At 34.7% G+C, this 18,967-nt stretch overlaps 1 long non-coding RNA gene and 1 pseudogene across 2 annotated transcripts in view; both read right to left on the minus strand.

The window, feature by feature from the left end:
- The window catches only part of LOC283788 (FSHD region gene 1 pseudogene), a 43,294-nt pseudogene that overhangs the window by 13,291 nt on the left and 11,036 nt on the right, over positions 1-18,967 (minus strand). Inside the window, exons 3-6 of the transcript NR_027436.2 lie at positions 18,656-18,781; positions 13,574-13,678; positions 10,298-10,389; positions 9,203-9,313 (exon numbers count right to left, since the gene is read on the minus strand). The product of NR_027436.2 is annotated as an FSHD region gene 1 pseudogene (transcript). The remainder of the gene's footprint in view (positions 1-9,202; positions 9,314-10,297; positions 10,390-13,573; positions 13,679-18,655; positions 18,782-18,967) is intronic.
- Positions 13,992-18,649, minus strand: LOC105379420 (uncharacterized). The gene is made up of 2 exons (XR_950598.2): positions 17,819-18,649; positions 13,992-16,032 (listed from the first exon to the last, which is right to left on the minus strand). It is a non-coding gene; the product is annotated as an uncharacterized LOC105379420 (long non-coding RNA).

An 18,967-nucleotide genomic window follows, 5' to 3' on the forward strand; every position in this document is an offset into this window, starting at 1 on the left:
CTCCCCAGTGAGATGAGCCTGGTACCTCAGTTGGAAATGCAGAAATCATCCATCTTCTGCATCGCTCACGCTGGGAGCTGTAGACTGGAGCTGTTCCTATTCGGCCATCTTGGCTTCACCTAGTCTTCTGTTTTCTAGATTTTTCAGTACACTTCTGTTTACTAGATTAAGACATTCCTGTGGAAAATTTTTCTCTCATTTTTTTTTTTTTTTTTTTTTTTTTTTTTAGCGCATAAGACATCCTTAAAAAAATCCTGGTTTTTTTTTTTAATATTTTCTACTTATCTTTGGTTTTTTAGTGATAAGTGGTTTGAAAGTGAACTGCATTCGTATAGTTTTCTTCACATTTCTTGTGCTTGAGGTTATTTGAGATTCTTAAAACTGTGGGTTTATTGTTTTCATCAATTTTGTATTTTTTCTACTATTATTTCTTCAATTTTCTGGGGCTTTTTAAGCTTTTGTTCTGTTTATTCTCCTTTGGGTATTCCAGTAACATGTAAGTTATGCTACTAAAAGTTGTTCTACAGCTCACTGATCTTTTTTTTTAATGTGTACTTTCTTTCTGTGATTTATGCTGGTTGGTTTCTACTGTGTTCGCAGGGTTAGCCTGGTGTGACTCTGTGGCTTTCTTGAGACATTTAAATAGTACCAAATTTTATTTAAAAATTTTAACCAACACACTATGTTTACTCATGTTTGAAGGAAAGCTCTTGGCTGTTCCTCTTTTTTCTGCCTCACTCTTACCAATGCAGATGACAGAGACTTGCAGACTCATCTAAGCCTTGTAAGACTCCATAACACGTTTAAAAAAATCATAACTGCTTTTTTGTTTACATATTATAGAGTCATTATTTAATTCTGAATCTAGCTTTAAATTTTGTTTAAAGTAGGAAATATTTTTTGTTCCCACTTAATGCTATTGAGTAGGTATATTTGTGTTGCTGCTTACTAGAGGACTAATAATTATAGTTGGCCATGAAGCAAAAATCACATATTTCTAAATTACCCTTTCAAAAGATTCATTAAGTTGCCTGTAAATCACAATGTAGACCAAAGTATTTATGCAGTACTTTAGAGACTCTCAATAATGACAAATATCCAGGTTTCTCTCTAGTAGAAAAGAACAGTTGAGTACCAAATAGTTTGCATTTTATCATCTAACGTGCTTCAAAAATAAAATTTTAAGCATGAGAATTACACTCAGAGCAGTGAGATGTTCATACTCTGAGAGGCATTTAGGATGTGAAAGTGAGAAAACAAGATTTTGTGAATGTAGTCTTGGGATTACTCACTGTGTGTCTTTCAGCCACTTCCCCTCTCCCTCTCCTTTCATCGCTATCTTCTCCTTGATTTTGAGTTGATTTTTGTATATTTATAATGGAATTTCCCAATGTCATATTGTCTCAACAGCACATTATGAAACAAGTACTTTTAAATTTACATTCAAACAGAGAAATAGAGGTTCTTCTTTGAAAGTATGGGTTCTTCTTTAAATGAACCCTACATTGCCTTTGGGGGGTGTTCATTATGTATAATTTTTAAAAATTGCTAACATCTGAAGCAAAAATTCATTTTTTTGTATTAAGTCTAATAGTTTTTTTTAACTTAAGTGTAGATTTTTTAAAATGCTCCGTAGTGGTGTTATTTATATGATTTTTGTCACTGCAATTTGATTGCTTCATTCATTGCTTTCTTTGTAATACCATTTCTTCCAAATATCATGCTTTCATTGGTTTCATGAACAGATTTCTACTTTAGAGTGTGAGCAAGGATGTTCTGTTAAATAAATGGGAAAATTAATCCTCCCGAATTTATATTGTCATGTGGAAGTGAAGAGTAAGTTTAATTTTGTAGCATTTCATCCAGCTTTGTCTCCATCCTTTGATACATGAACAAATTACATGAGTGAAGAACACCACTGTGTTTTCTTAAATAACTTTTCAACTTCAGTAAGTCATGAAAGGATCAAATATGAGAGAAATAGAGAACCTCAGGATCAACTCAAGTATTTGGAAAAAGTACTGAAAAATGAGGTGGGGTAGTTTCAAAACTGCCCTGCTCAGCATCGAAAGGCTCTTGTTTCTTAAGGAAGCCATGGAGTTTTATCAGCTTAAAAGTGAGTGGTTTGTAAAATGAAATTTTGTTTCTTTTAAACAACTTACTTTTGAAACTTCCATTCTTGTTCGTGGATTGTGGTTTGTTAGAACAGTGATTATTTAGTTTTTATGAGATGTTTCTTGTATTTTTATTTATTTTTTTTAAGGCAGAGTCTTGCTCTGTCGCCCAGGCTGGAGTACAGTGGCTCAATCTCAGTTCACTGCAACCGCCACCTCCCAGGTTCAAGCGATTCTCGTGACTCAGCCTCCTGAGTAGTTGGGATTACAGGCACCTCCCACCACACCCAGCTAATTTTTGTATTTTTAGTAGAGATGAGGCTTCACCATGTTGGCCAGGCTTGTCTCAAACTTCTGACCTCAAGTGATCCACCCTCCTCAGCCTCCCAAAGTGCTAGGATTACAGGTGTGAGCCACCGTGCCCTGCCTGTTTCTTGTATTTGATGATGAAAATCTGTTATTAACAGGCATTGGGCCTGTTTCTTGTATTTTATCATGAAAATCTGTTATTGACAGTAAGAGGATGGGGGCTCAGGTTAGCAACAGGGTGTTAGAAAAGCAGCAGTAAAATTTTGGTTCTCAAAACATTTGATGTCTTATTCCTTTTTTTGAACATGGGTTTTTCTAAAAAAGACCAGTCATTTTGAAACTTGATTTTACTGTCATGTTCTCCTTTTGAAATTCATCTTATTGTTTGTATGAATTGGCAGTCCTATATGGGAAATTTCGGTTTTGCATATTTTCAGATTATTTTCATTTTTACTTCAGAGATTTTGAACAGATGCTATACAAAAGTATTTATTTATTCAACAAAATTTAGTGCTGCTTATGTTGCAAGCACTTACTGAACTTCATGCTGTATGTGCCTGAGATACTTTTGTGAACGTAATGGCAACATCAAAAACTTTGCCCTTATGCACCTTATAAACCTTTAATTTCAAGGCATACTGATGAGTGGGCATCTGCTATAACGTACTTTCATGGTCATTTAATTCACCATTATTTGGGTATACCTTATATTAAAGCGATTATTAAAAATTGGAAAATATTTAACACATCTTCATCTTGCCTTTTTCCTTAACATATGTAGATCAAGGGAGTCACTGAGAATCAGTTTTAGGGATAGTTATAAAAATCTTAACTTTGCAAATATAACTTTGTTCTCAATGTAATAACTGGAAAAAATAATTTACGTTTCAAAGGCTTTAATCTTTGTATTTTTTTGAAAAGGAGCCTTCACCGAGATTTTTAAAAAATTATTGCTCTGTCCTACAGTAGAGACTGATAGAATCATGGATATGGTCCTCTAATGGATCTGTACCACCTCAGTTCTCTTATTGTTGCCCTCCCGTGGTGAAAATTAAACCTTATTTTCATTTCATGTCTAGGATGTAGTATGTTCTTTTTGGGAAAAACAATGATGTTTCTTGAGAAATAAGTGCCTTCAGTATCACTGTGTGTCACTTAATAAATATGACTAATATCTATTTTACCAGTTGTTGCAATTTGATCCTTAAACAGCCGTCTTTAAATTGTACTTTTTCTTTGGTTAGAGAAAAGTAATTATAATAGACATTAATTATTTTTACATAATTTTCTTATGTGGACAGCCGTTCTTAGAACTAAAACTTTCAGATGTTTATATTACAAGTACAATTATTATTTATTATTATTAATGTCAGTACCAAAATGTAATCAACTCTCTTCCTTTTGCTTCCTTTTTTGAATCAAAATATTACACTTATAGAAGCAAGAGCAACGGCTCTATATCTGGATCACTGCAGTGCCTAGAAGATACAACAGCACAATTTACAAATCCAAATTTCCAGGAAGTCTCTCCACATACCTCTCGTACAAAAGATGCTTCAGAGACTAGAGGGTCAGAGAGGAAAGAGAGGAAATATTCAACTCCCAGTTCAGGACAAAAGGGAAGAAAGCCTGCTGTTGAAAGAAATCCAAGAATGACTGTGTCTGCAACTCGCTCCTTTCTGTGAAGTATTCATGGTGCTTTACTTAAAATATTTGCTCTTATGATCGTCAATAATATTAATAGTTATGCTTTGTAAAAGAATTTATTCTTTACTTATAATTAATGGATGATTCTAAGTTATTATATGTTTAGTTGCTATAGTAAGATGATGTGAAAGATTTGTTGCCTGTTAAATATTTCTGGGATCTTTGTTTTATTTTTATATTATGATTTGTGCTTCCAAAGTTGAGCTGTAATTTTATTGTTTATACAAATGTAGAATAAAGCTTAGGTTTGGGGAGAAAAATAAAAGCTAGAGTTTTCCTTTCAGCTATAGAACAGTCATTTATTTCTATAAATGTTTTTTATGTAGCTTTCCTAGTTCCACATTTAAAAAGATAAATATGGGGATCTACACAGGTCTCAGTAAACAATAGTTCTTGGTTAATAATGCATTTATTACAAAGCTTGAAGTTTAAAGTAGAATTTTGCTCAGCGTACATATCTTTTATGGTCAGGCTGCTATAATTATGTAATACCCCGTTAAATTTCAATTTCAGATAAACAAGGAATAATATTTTAGTATAACCATGTCCCAAATATTGCATGGGATATACTTACACTGAAAAAAGTATTTGTTTATCTGAAATTTCAAATTAACTGGGCATGCTATATTTTCTGTGGCAACCTGTTTTATAGAGAACAGAGTAGAGTAAGTCAGCTAAATTTTAGAATACTTAACCCTAACCTGGTGTTCTAGGTCTTTCCTTCTTGTAATTATTATTATTATTTGGAGTCAGGGTCGTGCTGCATCACCCAGGCTGGAGTGCAGTGGCGCAATCACAGTGCCCTGTAGCCTTGAGCATCTGGGCTCAGGTGATTCTGGCACCTCTGCCTTTGCCTCTCAAGTAGCTAGTACCACAGGTATGTGGGCCCAGCTAAATTTTTTTTTTTTCTCATAGAGACAGGGTCTCAGGCTGGTCTGGAACTCCTGGGCTCAAGCAATCCTCCCACCTCTGCCTTCACTTCCCAAATAGCTGAGACCACAGGCACATGCCACCACCATACCCAGCTTATTTTTTATCAGGTTGGTGCAAGAGTAATTGCGGGGTTTGCCATTGAAAGTAATGGCAAAACCCGCAATTACTTTTTGTACCACCCTAATAATTTTTTGTGGAGACAGGGTCTTGCCCTGTTGTCTAGGCTGGTTTCCAACTCCTGGGCTCGAGTGACCCTCTTGCCTTGACCTCTAAAAGTTCTGGGATTACAGACGGGAGCCACTGCACCAAGCTACTTTGTATAATTTTTAACATAAACATAAATATTTTGAGAAATAGATATGTTAATACCATTGGAGGAAAATATATTGTAAAGTATACAATAGAAAAAAAATCAAGCAAAATACAACAAATACAACAAAAAATTATCAAAATTTTCAGAGGAACAGAACAAAATCTAGTTTTACAATCTTCAGAATTCAATCCCATTATAATAAACATATAAAGAAACATATTCAAAGAAAAAGGCAATCAATAGAGACTGACCTCGAGATGACCCAGATGTTGGAATTAGTGTGGATTTTTAAAGTAGTTATTGTAATTCTTACTAAAATCAAAACCCCAAAAACCCTTAAAATAAATGGATAGGAAATCACAGCAGAGAAGAAGAAACTACAATAATAACAAAGGCTTAAGTGGAAATTCTAGAAGTGAGAACCTTTTCAAAATTAAAAAATAATAATCAGTTGCTTTCAGGAGCAGCTTGGAGGTGGTAAAGAGTCAATGAACCTTAAAATACAATTGAAATGATTCAATCTGAAAAATGTGAGCAGTCATAGGTTGAGGTGAGGGAGCTTTTCCTTTGGTTAGTGCTTTTAGGTAATCTTGGTTTTGATAAGATTACTACACTGATCCGTCAGGGGCATGCTAAGCCAGAGTTTAACTTGGTTTCAGTAGTGCTTTAAACAAAACTCATGATATCCTGTGTACAAGATGGAAGAAGAGTGGACCAGATGACAATATTTAGATGCAGTCATTCTTAACCTCCGTTGCTCTCCCAGTGGTCTAGCTGAGGTTTGTATAAAGTGGAATGGGAGGAATAGGGAAGGAGCCCCCACCTACCCTCTCCCCTTATCCACTTGTCCTCCTTCACTAGTGGATAAAGTCCACGGGAACAGGCAAGTTATTTTAAATCTGTATCTTCTGTTGTCAAGATCTGTAATCAGTTCTGCTCGCTGGACTGGGGACAGGAACCAAGGGAACATGAGGGTGAACGGGTTGGCATGGAGTCCAGGAACACACTGTGCCTACATGCAGAATATTTGTGCCAGGAAAGCCAGTCAGCAGGCAGATGGTCTCAGATACCAAGCTAGTGTTGGGAAGCCAGATTCAGTCTCTTGAAGGTGGTGTTCCTCATTCTGTGGTTTGTATCACTTGCTTCAGAATGACCTGGAGTACTTATAAAAATGCAAATTTTGAGCCCAATCCTAGACCTCCTAAGCCTGTATCTCTATGGATGGGTCTCAGTAGTCAATATTGGAAATGTGCAGGTCCCTAGGAGATGCTTATGCATATAGATTTGAACTGTTGTGTTTAAGGGTTAGGGAGCTAGCAAAAGCAAGGAATAGACCAAGCCCTTGGGTGGGAAGGCTCCATAACCTTGGCACTGTTAGCATTCTGGGCGGAACAGGATTCTGCCATATGCTTCGCAGCATCCCTAACCTCTACTCTCTAACACCGTATTCCAGTTGTGAAAACCAAAAATGTCCCCTGGGAGGCAAAATAGTCACCATTTGGGAACTGGAACCACTGCTTTGTGGGATCAGAGTGGTTACTTTGTTCCGAATCCAAGGATCAGAACACACGATGAGAGAAAGTCCAGCTATTGGAACTGGAGTGCCAAGTTGAAGCTAGATCTACAACAAAAGTTCCAAAAGCTCCTTTATAGGGCTGATCCCATGCCTCAGCTACCTAGCTTGTACAGATGCCATGTAACTCTAGATTTGGTGACAGAAGGAATTTAAAGGCTAGAACTAGATAGGGTCTTTCAGGTTAGGCCAGCACACAACGTGGACTTTTGACATCATCCAGATGCTTGAACCAACCTCAGTCCTGAGGCAGAATTTCCCGTGGCATCTGATACACAGCCTGGCTTTGGAGCACTCACTGGGATTAGATGCCATGGGAATATCGTGTTTAGGAACTCTGAAAGAGACAGGCTTCAACAAAGCAGACCTAAGCAACACGTAGCGTCTGAACTTCTTTATCAGCTTCCATTCCAGGCCACGAGGACAAAAGCATCACATACATATCCACTGTGGCAAATCTGTCTTCAGTAGGGAGTTTCCCCAGTACTACTCTCCCCTCTGTTCTGAGCCTACTTGCTCCTTTGTAATGTTTCCACTTTCTGTTCCACTCCCTAATAGATGATTTGTCTTCTCTGCCCAGCCCCCTAGTTCTGACATTTGGATTGTCTGTGATCTGGGTAGTACTTAGGAGGTAGAATCAAAGCCTTGTTGATTGGATTGGGAGTTTCTAACTTCCTATTAAAGGCACTGATTAAGCATCTATTGTATAAAGTAAAGTAAGATTATGATCCAGTAAGAAAGATTCCACAAGTAGCGCAGGAAGAATTGGTTTCTAGTACACTTCATGCTTCAGGACAGGAAACCCAGAAAATAATTCTGTGGTACGTTAAGTGTGTACTGTAAGTTTCATTTTCATGTGAAAAACTGTAGTTAGCTAAAAAGTACATCCATGAAGAATCCTGATTATACTTGTTTAATCCTGGTTAAACTAGCTACTAGCTAAACAATAATTTCACAACAACTCAAGAACTCTGTAAAAGCATTTCCCCTGAATATTTTATTCAGAAAAAAACACAAAAAGATAAGGCAGAAACAAAAATCCCAGTCATTTGCAGTATCTGTCGGCTTTCAATTTGGTCCTCTTGTTTAAACAAATAAAAATAGTAAAATTAATCTATGTAAAACATGCCATATATATTCAACTGCTACTAAATATAAAAAGCTATAAAACTGTGTGTTCAATTTTGGTTACTGTATTATCACAACACTTATATTAAAATATGTATACTTTTAAATTTGGTTTCTATAAAAAATGGATTATAATCCTATAAAAGTTATTTCCTAATATTCAATAAATGTTGCCTAAGGGTTTTTTCTATCCAAATAGCAATTTTATTCCGGAATTTAAGGGTGCTCTAAATTTCCATTTAACAGGGTGAGAATGCTGTATTATTACAAGTGAGAAAAGTTACAGGACATAGAGTTTATTCCGTTTTAGAGTCCACATCCTGATTATATTTTTTATCCTCTTCTTGATTTCTTACAACTAGATACATATTCACTTACTCAGCTGGAAAAAATTTGTAACATTATTTACTGACTTTACGTATGTACTCTACCAGCTAGTTAACAGGAAATATGTAATTAAACATTGCCTTTATCAAGTAATGTAAAAAAGGGTAAGAGTAACTTTGCAACATAGGACTTGAATGAGCAACTGGTGATGATCAAAATCTGGCACTTAATTGATTTATACTTGTACACTCACAGCTAAACGTCTCTACCTGTTTTTCTATGGTATAAATCTAGGACATTACTTATCTACATAGGAAGAATAATAAATATTAATAATGTGCTATGATAAACATCCTGCACTCTTCCAAATCTTACAATAAAACTGCTTCAATTTCACTTGTTTAGCTTTTATATTTAGTTTGTTAGTTGATATATGCTTATTTTAAGGAAGCTGAACTACTCTAACAGAATCCACATAATTTTTATATTAGCCAAACTGCTTCTTTCTAACTCTGGTTCTAATAGTTATAAAAAGATAATGATAAATTTATGAAGTAGATACAGTCAAACCTGAATTTCTTAAAGTATATACTTAGAATCGGTTATAATTTTTAGATATTCTTTGTTGACAGTCTTTTCCCAAACTCATGATGTCCTCTCTAGGTAATTTTGCACACTCATAAATTAGAAATGAAGACAAAAATTTGAAAACTACAGTAATTTAAGAGAATATAGGTTTTCTACATGCCATTTCTATTGGCTACTGAAAACAGTGAAAATAAGTAAATAAATAGCTACCTGTCCAGAAGCGTCTCTTGCAAAAATCCATCTTTCTGAGCCTTTTTAAGAATTTTACTGTCTTCTTTACTTATTTTAAGTTTGTGCTCTTGGAAGCTCTGAAATTTCTTTCTGCAAAGAAAATGTCTTCATTGAAAAGTACCTCAAACTCTGATTATACATATTTACTATTAAATTTATAAATACTGTTAATTTCTTTTTCACTTATTAAAAAAGTCTAATTGTAGGCCAGATGCAGTGGCTCACACCTGCAATCCCAGCTTTGGGAGGCCAAGGCAGGCAGATCACTCGAGGTCAGGAGTTCGAGAACAGCCTGGCCAACATGGTGAAACCTCGTCTCTACTAAAAATACAAAAATTAGCCGAGCGTAGTGGCGCGTGCCCATAGTCCCAGCTACTTGGGGGGCTGAGGCAGGAGAATCACATGAACCTGGGAGGTGGAGGTTGCGATGAGCCGAGATCATGGCACTGCACTCCAGTCTGGGGGACAGAGCGAGACTCCGTCTTGGGGGAGAAACAAAAGTCTAATTGTATTTTTTTTTTAATAAGCTGGAGCATTTGAACAACAAAGATGACTCTCGTGACCTCTCAAGAGGAGGGCTACTCATTGACTGGGTAGCAAAAGGCCCCACTTCTATTAGGGCATGCTGGCTGGAGTCCCCTGTGTCCTGGCCATAGCACAGCCTTTGACTGGCATCATGCCCATTCTATGAATGAATAGAGAGATTGACTAACCCGAGTGACTAGCTTTGGGAGCTGGTAGGATGATTAGGAAAACTGAACCCTCAAGAAAAGAAAAGCATTTAGCTCAGTGCTCTGTCCCAGAGGCTACATTGTGTTGCCTCTTTTGTCCATCAGGTTTCATTTTTTCAGACAGGGTCTTGCTCTGTCACCCAGGCTGGAATGCAGTGGTGATCAGAGCTCACTGGGGCCTTGAACTCCTGGGCTCAAAGAATCCTCCTGTCTCAGCCTCCCGAGTAGCTGGGCCTACAGGCATGCACCACCATCCCCAGCTAATTAGGTAATTTATTTTGAAAGCACTTTGAGAAGCACTTCACTGTCAAATCCGTAGGTCTAAAAGGAAAAGCATACATACACATAATTGATTTCACATTGTTTTACATTTCCTTTGTCTTCTTCTGGAATGTCATCTTTTTTCTTGGTTTCTCTTTCAGCACAGGATCTAATCTAGATATTGGAAAAGAGAATCCAATGGGTTATATGTTTATCTTCCACTTTCCCCACTTTACGTATCACATAAGAACATTCGAGATGATTTCTTATGCAGAAGAAAAAATTAACTGAGCAACTATATTCAGAAAAAGACAGGTTCTGGCTATGTGTTTTTACTTCATATATATAATCTATATGAGTAAGTGCTATCACATGCTTCCTCCGCAGCCCTTGTGTCAGAAACACTACAGACAAAATTATTTCAGAAACATTTTACACATCAGATCCTGCTAGGCAATAAAGCAATCATTAATTTAGTTTTGTCCTCCAAGTGAATACACTAGGATCAAATTATCCCTAGTAGACAAGTGTTCATTTGATCAGATTGAAAGCTTAATAGCTATTTTACGTTGCACAGACTATTACCAAAGTATTAAGATTTTTAACATTACACAACTTGTTTTTAATTAATTGGAACCCACCTCTTTTACAAGCTTCTTATATCCTCCTAAGTTTGGATAGCTGTTTACTATCACATGTCATAAGTTAATTGATCTGCATTCAACAATTAGGATCACCCACAGAACAGGCAATTGGCAATGGTAATGACTCATGTCTCTTAAGGGATCTCTGTGGCCAGATTCCAGTTCCAGGGCTGCTTAGAAAGTGATGACAAATAACGTGTTTGTGCCAATGACATCTTTGTGACAGTTTTGATTAGAGGGGTCCCAGACATGAAAACATTCCCTGCTAGGGCCTGTAGGACAATGCTACCTTTAGTAAGAGGGATGTGTGTTCTGGTAGACAAGGCAAGGTCATAAAGGTGAAGGACTGACAGAGATTAGGAAAGCCTGCAATTAAATGGTATGAAAAGAGTCCTAAGTAATCACTGTTCAGAGTTTCCAAGTACTTGACTAACCAAAGAGACCCAGAAAACTTTGTATTTCATCAGAAAATTTCTTTAAATAGTGAAAAACGCAATCTTTGTGTAAGTATCTTTGTATCTTTGTATAAGTGCAAAACACTGCACATATATTTCCAATTGTTGCCTTCAATAACACTTTTGTGATGATATCCAGATGAAAAATTTAAACATGATACAATAAAATATAAATAAGTAAAATTAAATGTAAGTCACAAACCCATCTGCATTTCCTCAACGGCCTGTTTCCTGAGAAGCAATGTTCTATGAAATACTGAGAGTGGCCTCTGGAGTCAGCTGGGCCTGGGTACACATCCTGTCTTACCACATCTTGAAATCACTGTGATTTCCATGAACTGACTGACAAAAACAATGAGGATGTAAGGAGGGTCAGAGGCTGTCTTCCTGTCTGTAAGGCTGAGCTCATATCCACCTCACAGGAGCATTATGGAAATTCAAGACTACAACTTATGTGCCGGATGCATGCAACGAAAAAATATAACATTTCACTTCTCTAACTGTAAGAAAATACCTACATTTTAGAATGAAATTGTTTGAGCTTTAGATTTGAAATTATCTGAAATCAAGACTATTCTAAAAAGAAAATCAAACATGACCGGAAATCTAAAATGAAGCACACACAGAGAATTGATAGATGCTTTTAAATTACACTGGTAGTAGAGAAAAATGTAACATAAATTTTTATGCTCTAATTATAAGAACGAAGGGCATTTTAGAAAAGGCATTTGTCCCCTCTCTTAGAGCCTTCCACTCTGGCCCCTACAATGCCTTACAGAGCAAATCCGGGTCAGACTGGATGCAACCTGTGATTCCCAACAGAGACAAACAAAGCAAGGTTCAGGATGCTCAGTACTGCGATGGAATGCCAAGACACAGAAAAGCCATGTGTCAAGAAGGCGGGAGTTATTCTTTAGACACACCCTGGTATATGTTTATCATTAAAGATCAGTGGCTTTTGTGAGTCTAAAAAATTAAGCCTTAAATGTTTTCATCAAATTCCAGTTAACTACCTGATTTATCTAGGTTATATTAACAGTATTATTTAGAATTTCACCTTGATATGAAGATGTCTGTGTAACTTTTACAATGATGTAAAACAAAGAGTAGGATTAGGGAGGGCACAGGCCACTGGTGCAATGGATAACGCATCTGACTACGGATGAGGGAATTTAGCCTGGAATAAGGAACTTTTATTTCCAGCTTAGTGATGCACACAAATTTTCAAAATAAAATAAAAATCATGTTTTATGTGATTCCTGTTTCTCCTAATGCAAAGATGATGGGTACTATTACTAAAAATATTTTTAAAATGTAAGGGCTAAGGCCCCAGAAGTTCTGCTATGATTTTTTATGTTTCATAGAGTGATTATCATCACAGAAGCTCAAGCATTATGTAAATACAAACACATATACTCCGACCTGGTAATTCTGATTCCGGAAATTTATCTTCAGGTCCACCCGCACATCCACAAATTGATGCATATTCAATGTTATGTACCGCAGCACTGTTTATAAGAGCAAAAGACTGGAAACAGCCTAAATTTCCATCTATAAAAGACTAAATAAATTAAGGTATAGCCCTAAAATGGAATATTATGTGGCTGTTAAAAAAGAGAAAGAGAGAAAAAGCAAGAAAAAGAGAAAACTTTCTACATTCAAACTAATAGTAGAAAACTCTCCAAGATACAATTTTAAGGAAAAAAAAATCAAAGTCAAGAAGACGATAGAGGAGGCTGCCTTTAGTGTAAAACAGTTGAAAATTATAAATATACTCATATGTTTATAAAGAAATTTTAGGAGGCTATAAAAAAACAAAACAAAGGGAAAGAGGAACAGGACCTGGGACACAGGTAAGATGCATGGCAGGCATATGTCTTCATCTTCATATGCTTTTATTTAAAAATGTTGGACCACATGTACATGTTATTTATTTTAAAAATTAGATTTTAAAATACAAACAAGAAAATAAGAAAATGAAAGTTTAAAAAGAGTATGTGGAACTACCAGAAAAAGATACTAATCCATGGAGATAGTGGCACGGTAGCTCCTAGATGCACTGATTTCTCTACCACATTGTAGAAACAAGCCATCAACTATGAGATTTGTAATTAAAAATGAGTCTATTTGAAACACCACATTATAAAAAGCTATTAAGTAAATCTTTAAAGTGACAGTAAATGATGACTTAACATTTTAAAGAGATACAGTCATATTGCATGTGTGAATGCAGTCATCTGTATAAAATGTCATCGTTACCTTGATCATTTCTTCTTCTCCTGCTGTTTTACTTTTTGCTTCTATGTCCCCTGCTTCATTGCATCTAATAAAGCAGCCATTTGAGGCCAACAAAGCCATTTTCCCCTAAGTGAAAGAAAATAACAAAATAGCCATGAGGATACTTCCTGTGGAAAAAACATTAAGTGTTTAGACTGAATTAATTTTTCCTCCCTGATTTAAAAATCACAGAAAAGAACTTAGAGAAAAACCTGAAAAATATAATATAAGAACATATAGAAAAGGAAACCAAAATCACCTTTCATTTTACTATTCAAAGATTACCACAATAAACATTTGTAGTGTATCTTCCTAGTAGGATTGCTTCCTTTCTAAAAGATCTACTGAAGATAAAACTGATTTAGTTCTGCTTGGAAAATCAACTTCAAAGACAAGAACATAATTATGAATGCATACTTTATTCAAATATTAACAGTTTAAGTAAAATTTATTTTCTTCACAATTAGAAAACATGAAAAGGTACATATAATGACTTTGGTGTTTTGAATTTAAGAATCAATGTCTGAGGGACCCTTGTGTGTGAAAATAAATATTCATATACATTTTTAGTTGTTTAATGTTTGATGTATTACACTGGTTTCTATTAAACAAAACTTTAAAAACTGATTTTCTTGTGTATTTAAATCTGGGTTATAAATTTTGTTAGCTTAACTCCCGTACCAAATATAACGTTTATTTATAACTTCTTTTTGGTTGATTCTTTTGGAAAACCTGGAATATCATAACATTTAGACAAAATATTTATAAATAAAATGATTACAAAATATGTTAAACTTATATCACATCCAGTTAAAAACGTGCTGATAACATGGATTTAATTTCTTAGTCAAGTCACAAGGGCTGGGAGGTCTCTCATCTGGATGGCTCCTGGTGAGCCCTGGAACATGGCGGTGTGGTCCAAGGCGATTTAAACCTGTGCCACAGATTATTCAGCTGAGTCCTTTTTGCAATAGATTTTTAAGACCCTCTTTCATTCAAATTTAAATTTTTGAAGCTTAGTGTCCTTCCTAAAAATAAAATGAAATGAACTTTCCTAAAGTGTTGTATTATTAGTGCTATCTAAGTCATCATCCTGGCCTTATGAAATATTGGCATTTTCTACTGGTGTAACTTTTATTAGAAGCATCTCATCATAACTAGTAGGACATCTCAAAGGGGTTGCAACACATTAGCAAGTAATGAAATCAATGTATTGTTTCCTCAAGGGTATTGGGTGGGTGGGGGGGAAAAGGAATACACACAGACACACAGAGAAAGGGGTAAAAGAGAATACGAAATATCAAGGTGCATAACACATGGATAAGTAAGTATTGTTAAGTACAACTCTTGCTTCAGTTATACATATGTTTGTGCTGGGCTGGCAATGTAAAAATGCATTTCTCAATGGATTGGGTCAAAATAGTTTTCAAGTCACTGACTTAAGATTTTATCCTGGGGGATGACGAAATTAGTCTAAGTGATTACCTCTTTCTGGTGGGATGTTTGTTTAATCTGTCATCTTAGAAAACACTGCTGTGTTCCTATTTTCAGTTCATTATTGTATACTACCAAAGCTGCTACTCAAAGGCTGAGCTTATCTTCTATTTGCTTGTTCTGCGTGGTGCCCACTGGTCCTTACTGTTTTTGATATAGTTATCTACTTTTTAAAGACAGTTTAGCACTCACATATTTTTGTTCAATCTTTACTTCTCACACAAACAGAAAAAGGAAATTATGTATTCTGTATCAACAAAGATTTAACAAAACATCCGTATACTACAACTGTCTACTTACTAAAATTGAGAATTAGTATATTATCTTTTTTCTTCTTATATTAAAACTATCTTTTCATACACTATTTTAAGCTTATGAGCTGAAAATCTTAGAGATAATTTACTTCAGTGAACTATTATTATTTATATTTTATATGCAAATTGTCACAACTTGGTCTTAGCTAGCTCCACTGTTTGCTTGCAGTCTGTAATGTTTCTGAAAGCATGCATGATTTCTGCTACAAAGAAGATACTTATGAACTATTCTGTTTTCCTACTCTGTGACCTAAAATTGACTGGTTCTTTAATGGAAATGAGATCCATATCTAGGCACTAAGGGTATAGAGAAATAATTGTGGGCAAAAGTACTAATGCGATTTTTGTTGCACTGTATTTTGAGATCTCTTTAAGGCTCTATGTTCTTGCTGGTTTATTCCAATTTAATGTATTACACTATTGCATCCTACTTTTTCTTTTTAAATATATTATGATTGACTGTTACAGACTTTGTGTGAAACTGACAGGAAGTTTTTATAAACAATAACAGCACTTAGGTTTTGAAAGACTGGTTCCCATTGTTCTCTTGGTCCAATTGCATCTGAATGCCCAACAACAAGTTCATCTGAATTTATACCAAGATATTTTCCATAGCCAGATTTCAGGGTGATTCTGTACATTAATAAGATGGACAAAAGTTAAAAACTGAGAGAAAATTAATTATAGGACATCAAAACAGGACATGTGTATGTGTGTGGGTGTGTACATATCTAAAGTTTCAGACTGGACATATTCCAAGTGTTCAAAAGATGCATGTGGCTGAGTGGTGACTCACTCCTGTAATCTTTGTGCTTTGGGAAGGCAATGGGAGAATTGCTTGAGGCAAGAAGTTCAAGATCAGCCTGGACAACATAGTGAGACCCCATCTTTACAAAAAATTTAAAAAGTTAGCTGGGCATGGTGGTGTGCATATGTAATACCAGCTACTTGGGAGGCTGACACAGGAGGAGTGCTTGAGCCCAGAAATTTGAGGTTATAGTGAGCTATGATCACACCACTGCCCTCCAGCCTGGGTGACAGAGTGAGACTCTGTGCCTTCAAAAAAAAAAAAAAGCTACATGTGACTAGTTGTGGCCATATTGGACAGTAAAGTTTTAAATTTAGTTTTATATTTTGCTTTTTTAATATAAACATGGTACCTTATTTATTACATAACAAATATTTTCAAAATTCATCATTCTTCAATTATACCTCTTTAGTTATAAATTTCAATAATAAATTACTAAAACTTTATGTCATCAAACTGTTTTCCAGAAAATGCTGCTTCCATTTACATTCTTACCTCAAATTAACGGAGTATGTTTTGTATCATGGATTTTTTTTAAAACATTATGACTCTAAAAAAATACTTGAAAACCTGATATGGAAAAAAACAGTATCCTATTAATTTGCATTTTAGTAGTTAACTAGAATAACAATTGTTTCTCTTTTCCTTTCCTTTTTAGTTTTTAGATTATCTGGTAATGTCCTTGTCCATTTTTCTATTCAGATCTGATTGTTCGCAATTTTCCTACTGGGTTCTTCAGTGCTATGAATTCTATACAAGATACATATGAAGAGTAAGAACTCACTGCCTATTAAGATTGTTGCAAATATTTTCCTCATTTGTCAGTTTTCTTTATAATCCTTTTTTGTTTATAATTGTAAAGCAGTTTAAAACTATTGAATTTTTCTTCCTCTGCTTTTATTCTGTCTTTCACCCTACTTATCAGACTTTCAAAGAAAGTATAGAAATAATCATCTTAATGTGATTTTTTAAAATTATGATTTCTTTTACCTTACCAAGAATTTCCTCGGATGCCAGAATTGACTTTTACTCCTTTATACGTTAATGATTATATAACAGAAATCATTATCATGTTGATGTAACCAATTACTAAAATATGTAAATTCACTTTCAGTATCTTTTACCCAAAGAATCATTCTATACTTCTGCACAAGGTGAGAATAAAAAAGGTTACTTTATAAAATGACTGTAAAAATAGTGAGTAAAAATATTCTTTTGTTTGTTATGATGCTGTAACATTCTCTGCTGGTTTCAACAATATTCCTTTTTTTAGTCTTCCTGTTTGTCTTTAGACTTCCAAACAGTGAGTTTAAATATCATAGCAACAGTGAACAAGGTTTTGTAGTATTTGATTTATTTTTTAATCTATCTTACTTGGTGTGTGAAATTATTAATCTTCATTTTTTAACTTACATATCTTTCTTCCAGCCTAGCATTATATATTGATAGGAAATCCACTAAAAGTAGATCACAAAATCTACTTTTCAAAAAAGCTATTTCATTTTTTATATCAAAATTACCATGGGTTTAAGACAGATACTAAAAATTTTAATGAATACAATTAAATTTTTAAAATAACTGGTTACTAATTATATTACAACATAAGCTCACCTGGAATCAGATAATTTGACAGCCATAAACTGCTCTGGAGGACTAGGGCCCTCATCAATATTGGAGAAAAAAACATTTGAAAATAAATTTGACATTTGCTATAAATATAAAGACATTATTTTGCTTTAAAAATGTTGCTATTTTCTTCTGCAATTAAATGTAAGAATATTCAGATATACTGATGTCACTGTAATACTGTATCTTTGGAATCAAGATCTATTTTACCTTCTTTTAACTACAGTGCTAATTTTATACACTGAGTAAGACAGGGTGATATAATGCTTATTTAATAACTTTCGAGATAGCTTCTCTTTATGTTTTAAAATACAGTCATAAATAAGCACTTATTTAAAAAAGCTAAATGCTTTCATTTATTCAATGGATGGCCTTGCTGACCAAATGATACTGCTTTTTATCTTCTAATTATTTCGTATCTCATTAGTGCTTCCTCTAATGGGCTAAAGAAAATGAGGAAACTTCAAATTGTTAAATGCACCCAGGTTAGTTTTGGTAATAGGTCTGAATAAAAAAGAAATTCAAACATGTTTGACTCAAATAGGTTTTCTTTTTTCTTTCCACTTACTATTTTAATTATTCATATTGTTTTGATTTCCAAAGATACTCTTCTGGAACTATATGGAATGTTTTCAAATGCTTATATTAGAAAGAGGGACTTGCCAACGGCTAGTAAATATTAAGGAATTAAAAAAATGGACGAGTCAAATGCAATGGTTCCATTCCTTTGGAAAATGTTTGAGACTAGTTAGAGTTTGGCCTAAGTGAATGAATGTCCTAAAATCTACACTTGTGGCAGGATCTTCCCTTCCAGACACAAACCTTCTTTGTGTGGAGCTCCCAGGGTAAAAAGACCATTGTCGAGTGGATGTATATAGGTTCCCTCATCCATTTCAATGGCTATGGTTCCTGAAATTTCATCAAAGTTTGTTACTGTTCACCAGATTCCTAAAAAATAAAATTGATATTTCAACTTTATATTTTAGTTTTGACACAGAGTTCTTTGTTATTATAACTTAGTTTTAAAAACCTTTTATTTTGCAGTCATAAGAAATAATACGAAGATCTCACATATCCTTTACTCGCTTTGTCTCAATGATGACAACTTACATAAGTATCATACATTGTTAGAAT

This window comes from Homo sapiens, unplaced genomic scaffold (assembly GCF_000001405.40).
Source record: "Homo sapiens unplaced genomic scaffold, GRCh38.p14 Primary Assembly HSCHRUN_RANDOM_CTG10".
Lineage (NCBI taxonomy): Eukaryota > Metazoa > Chordata > Mammalia > Primates > Hominidae > Homo > Homo sapiens.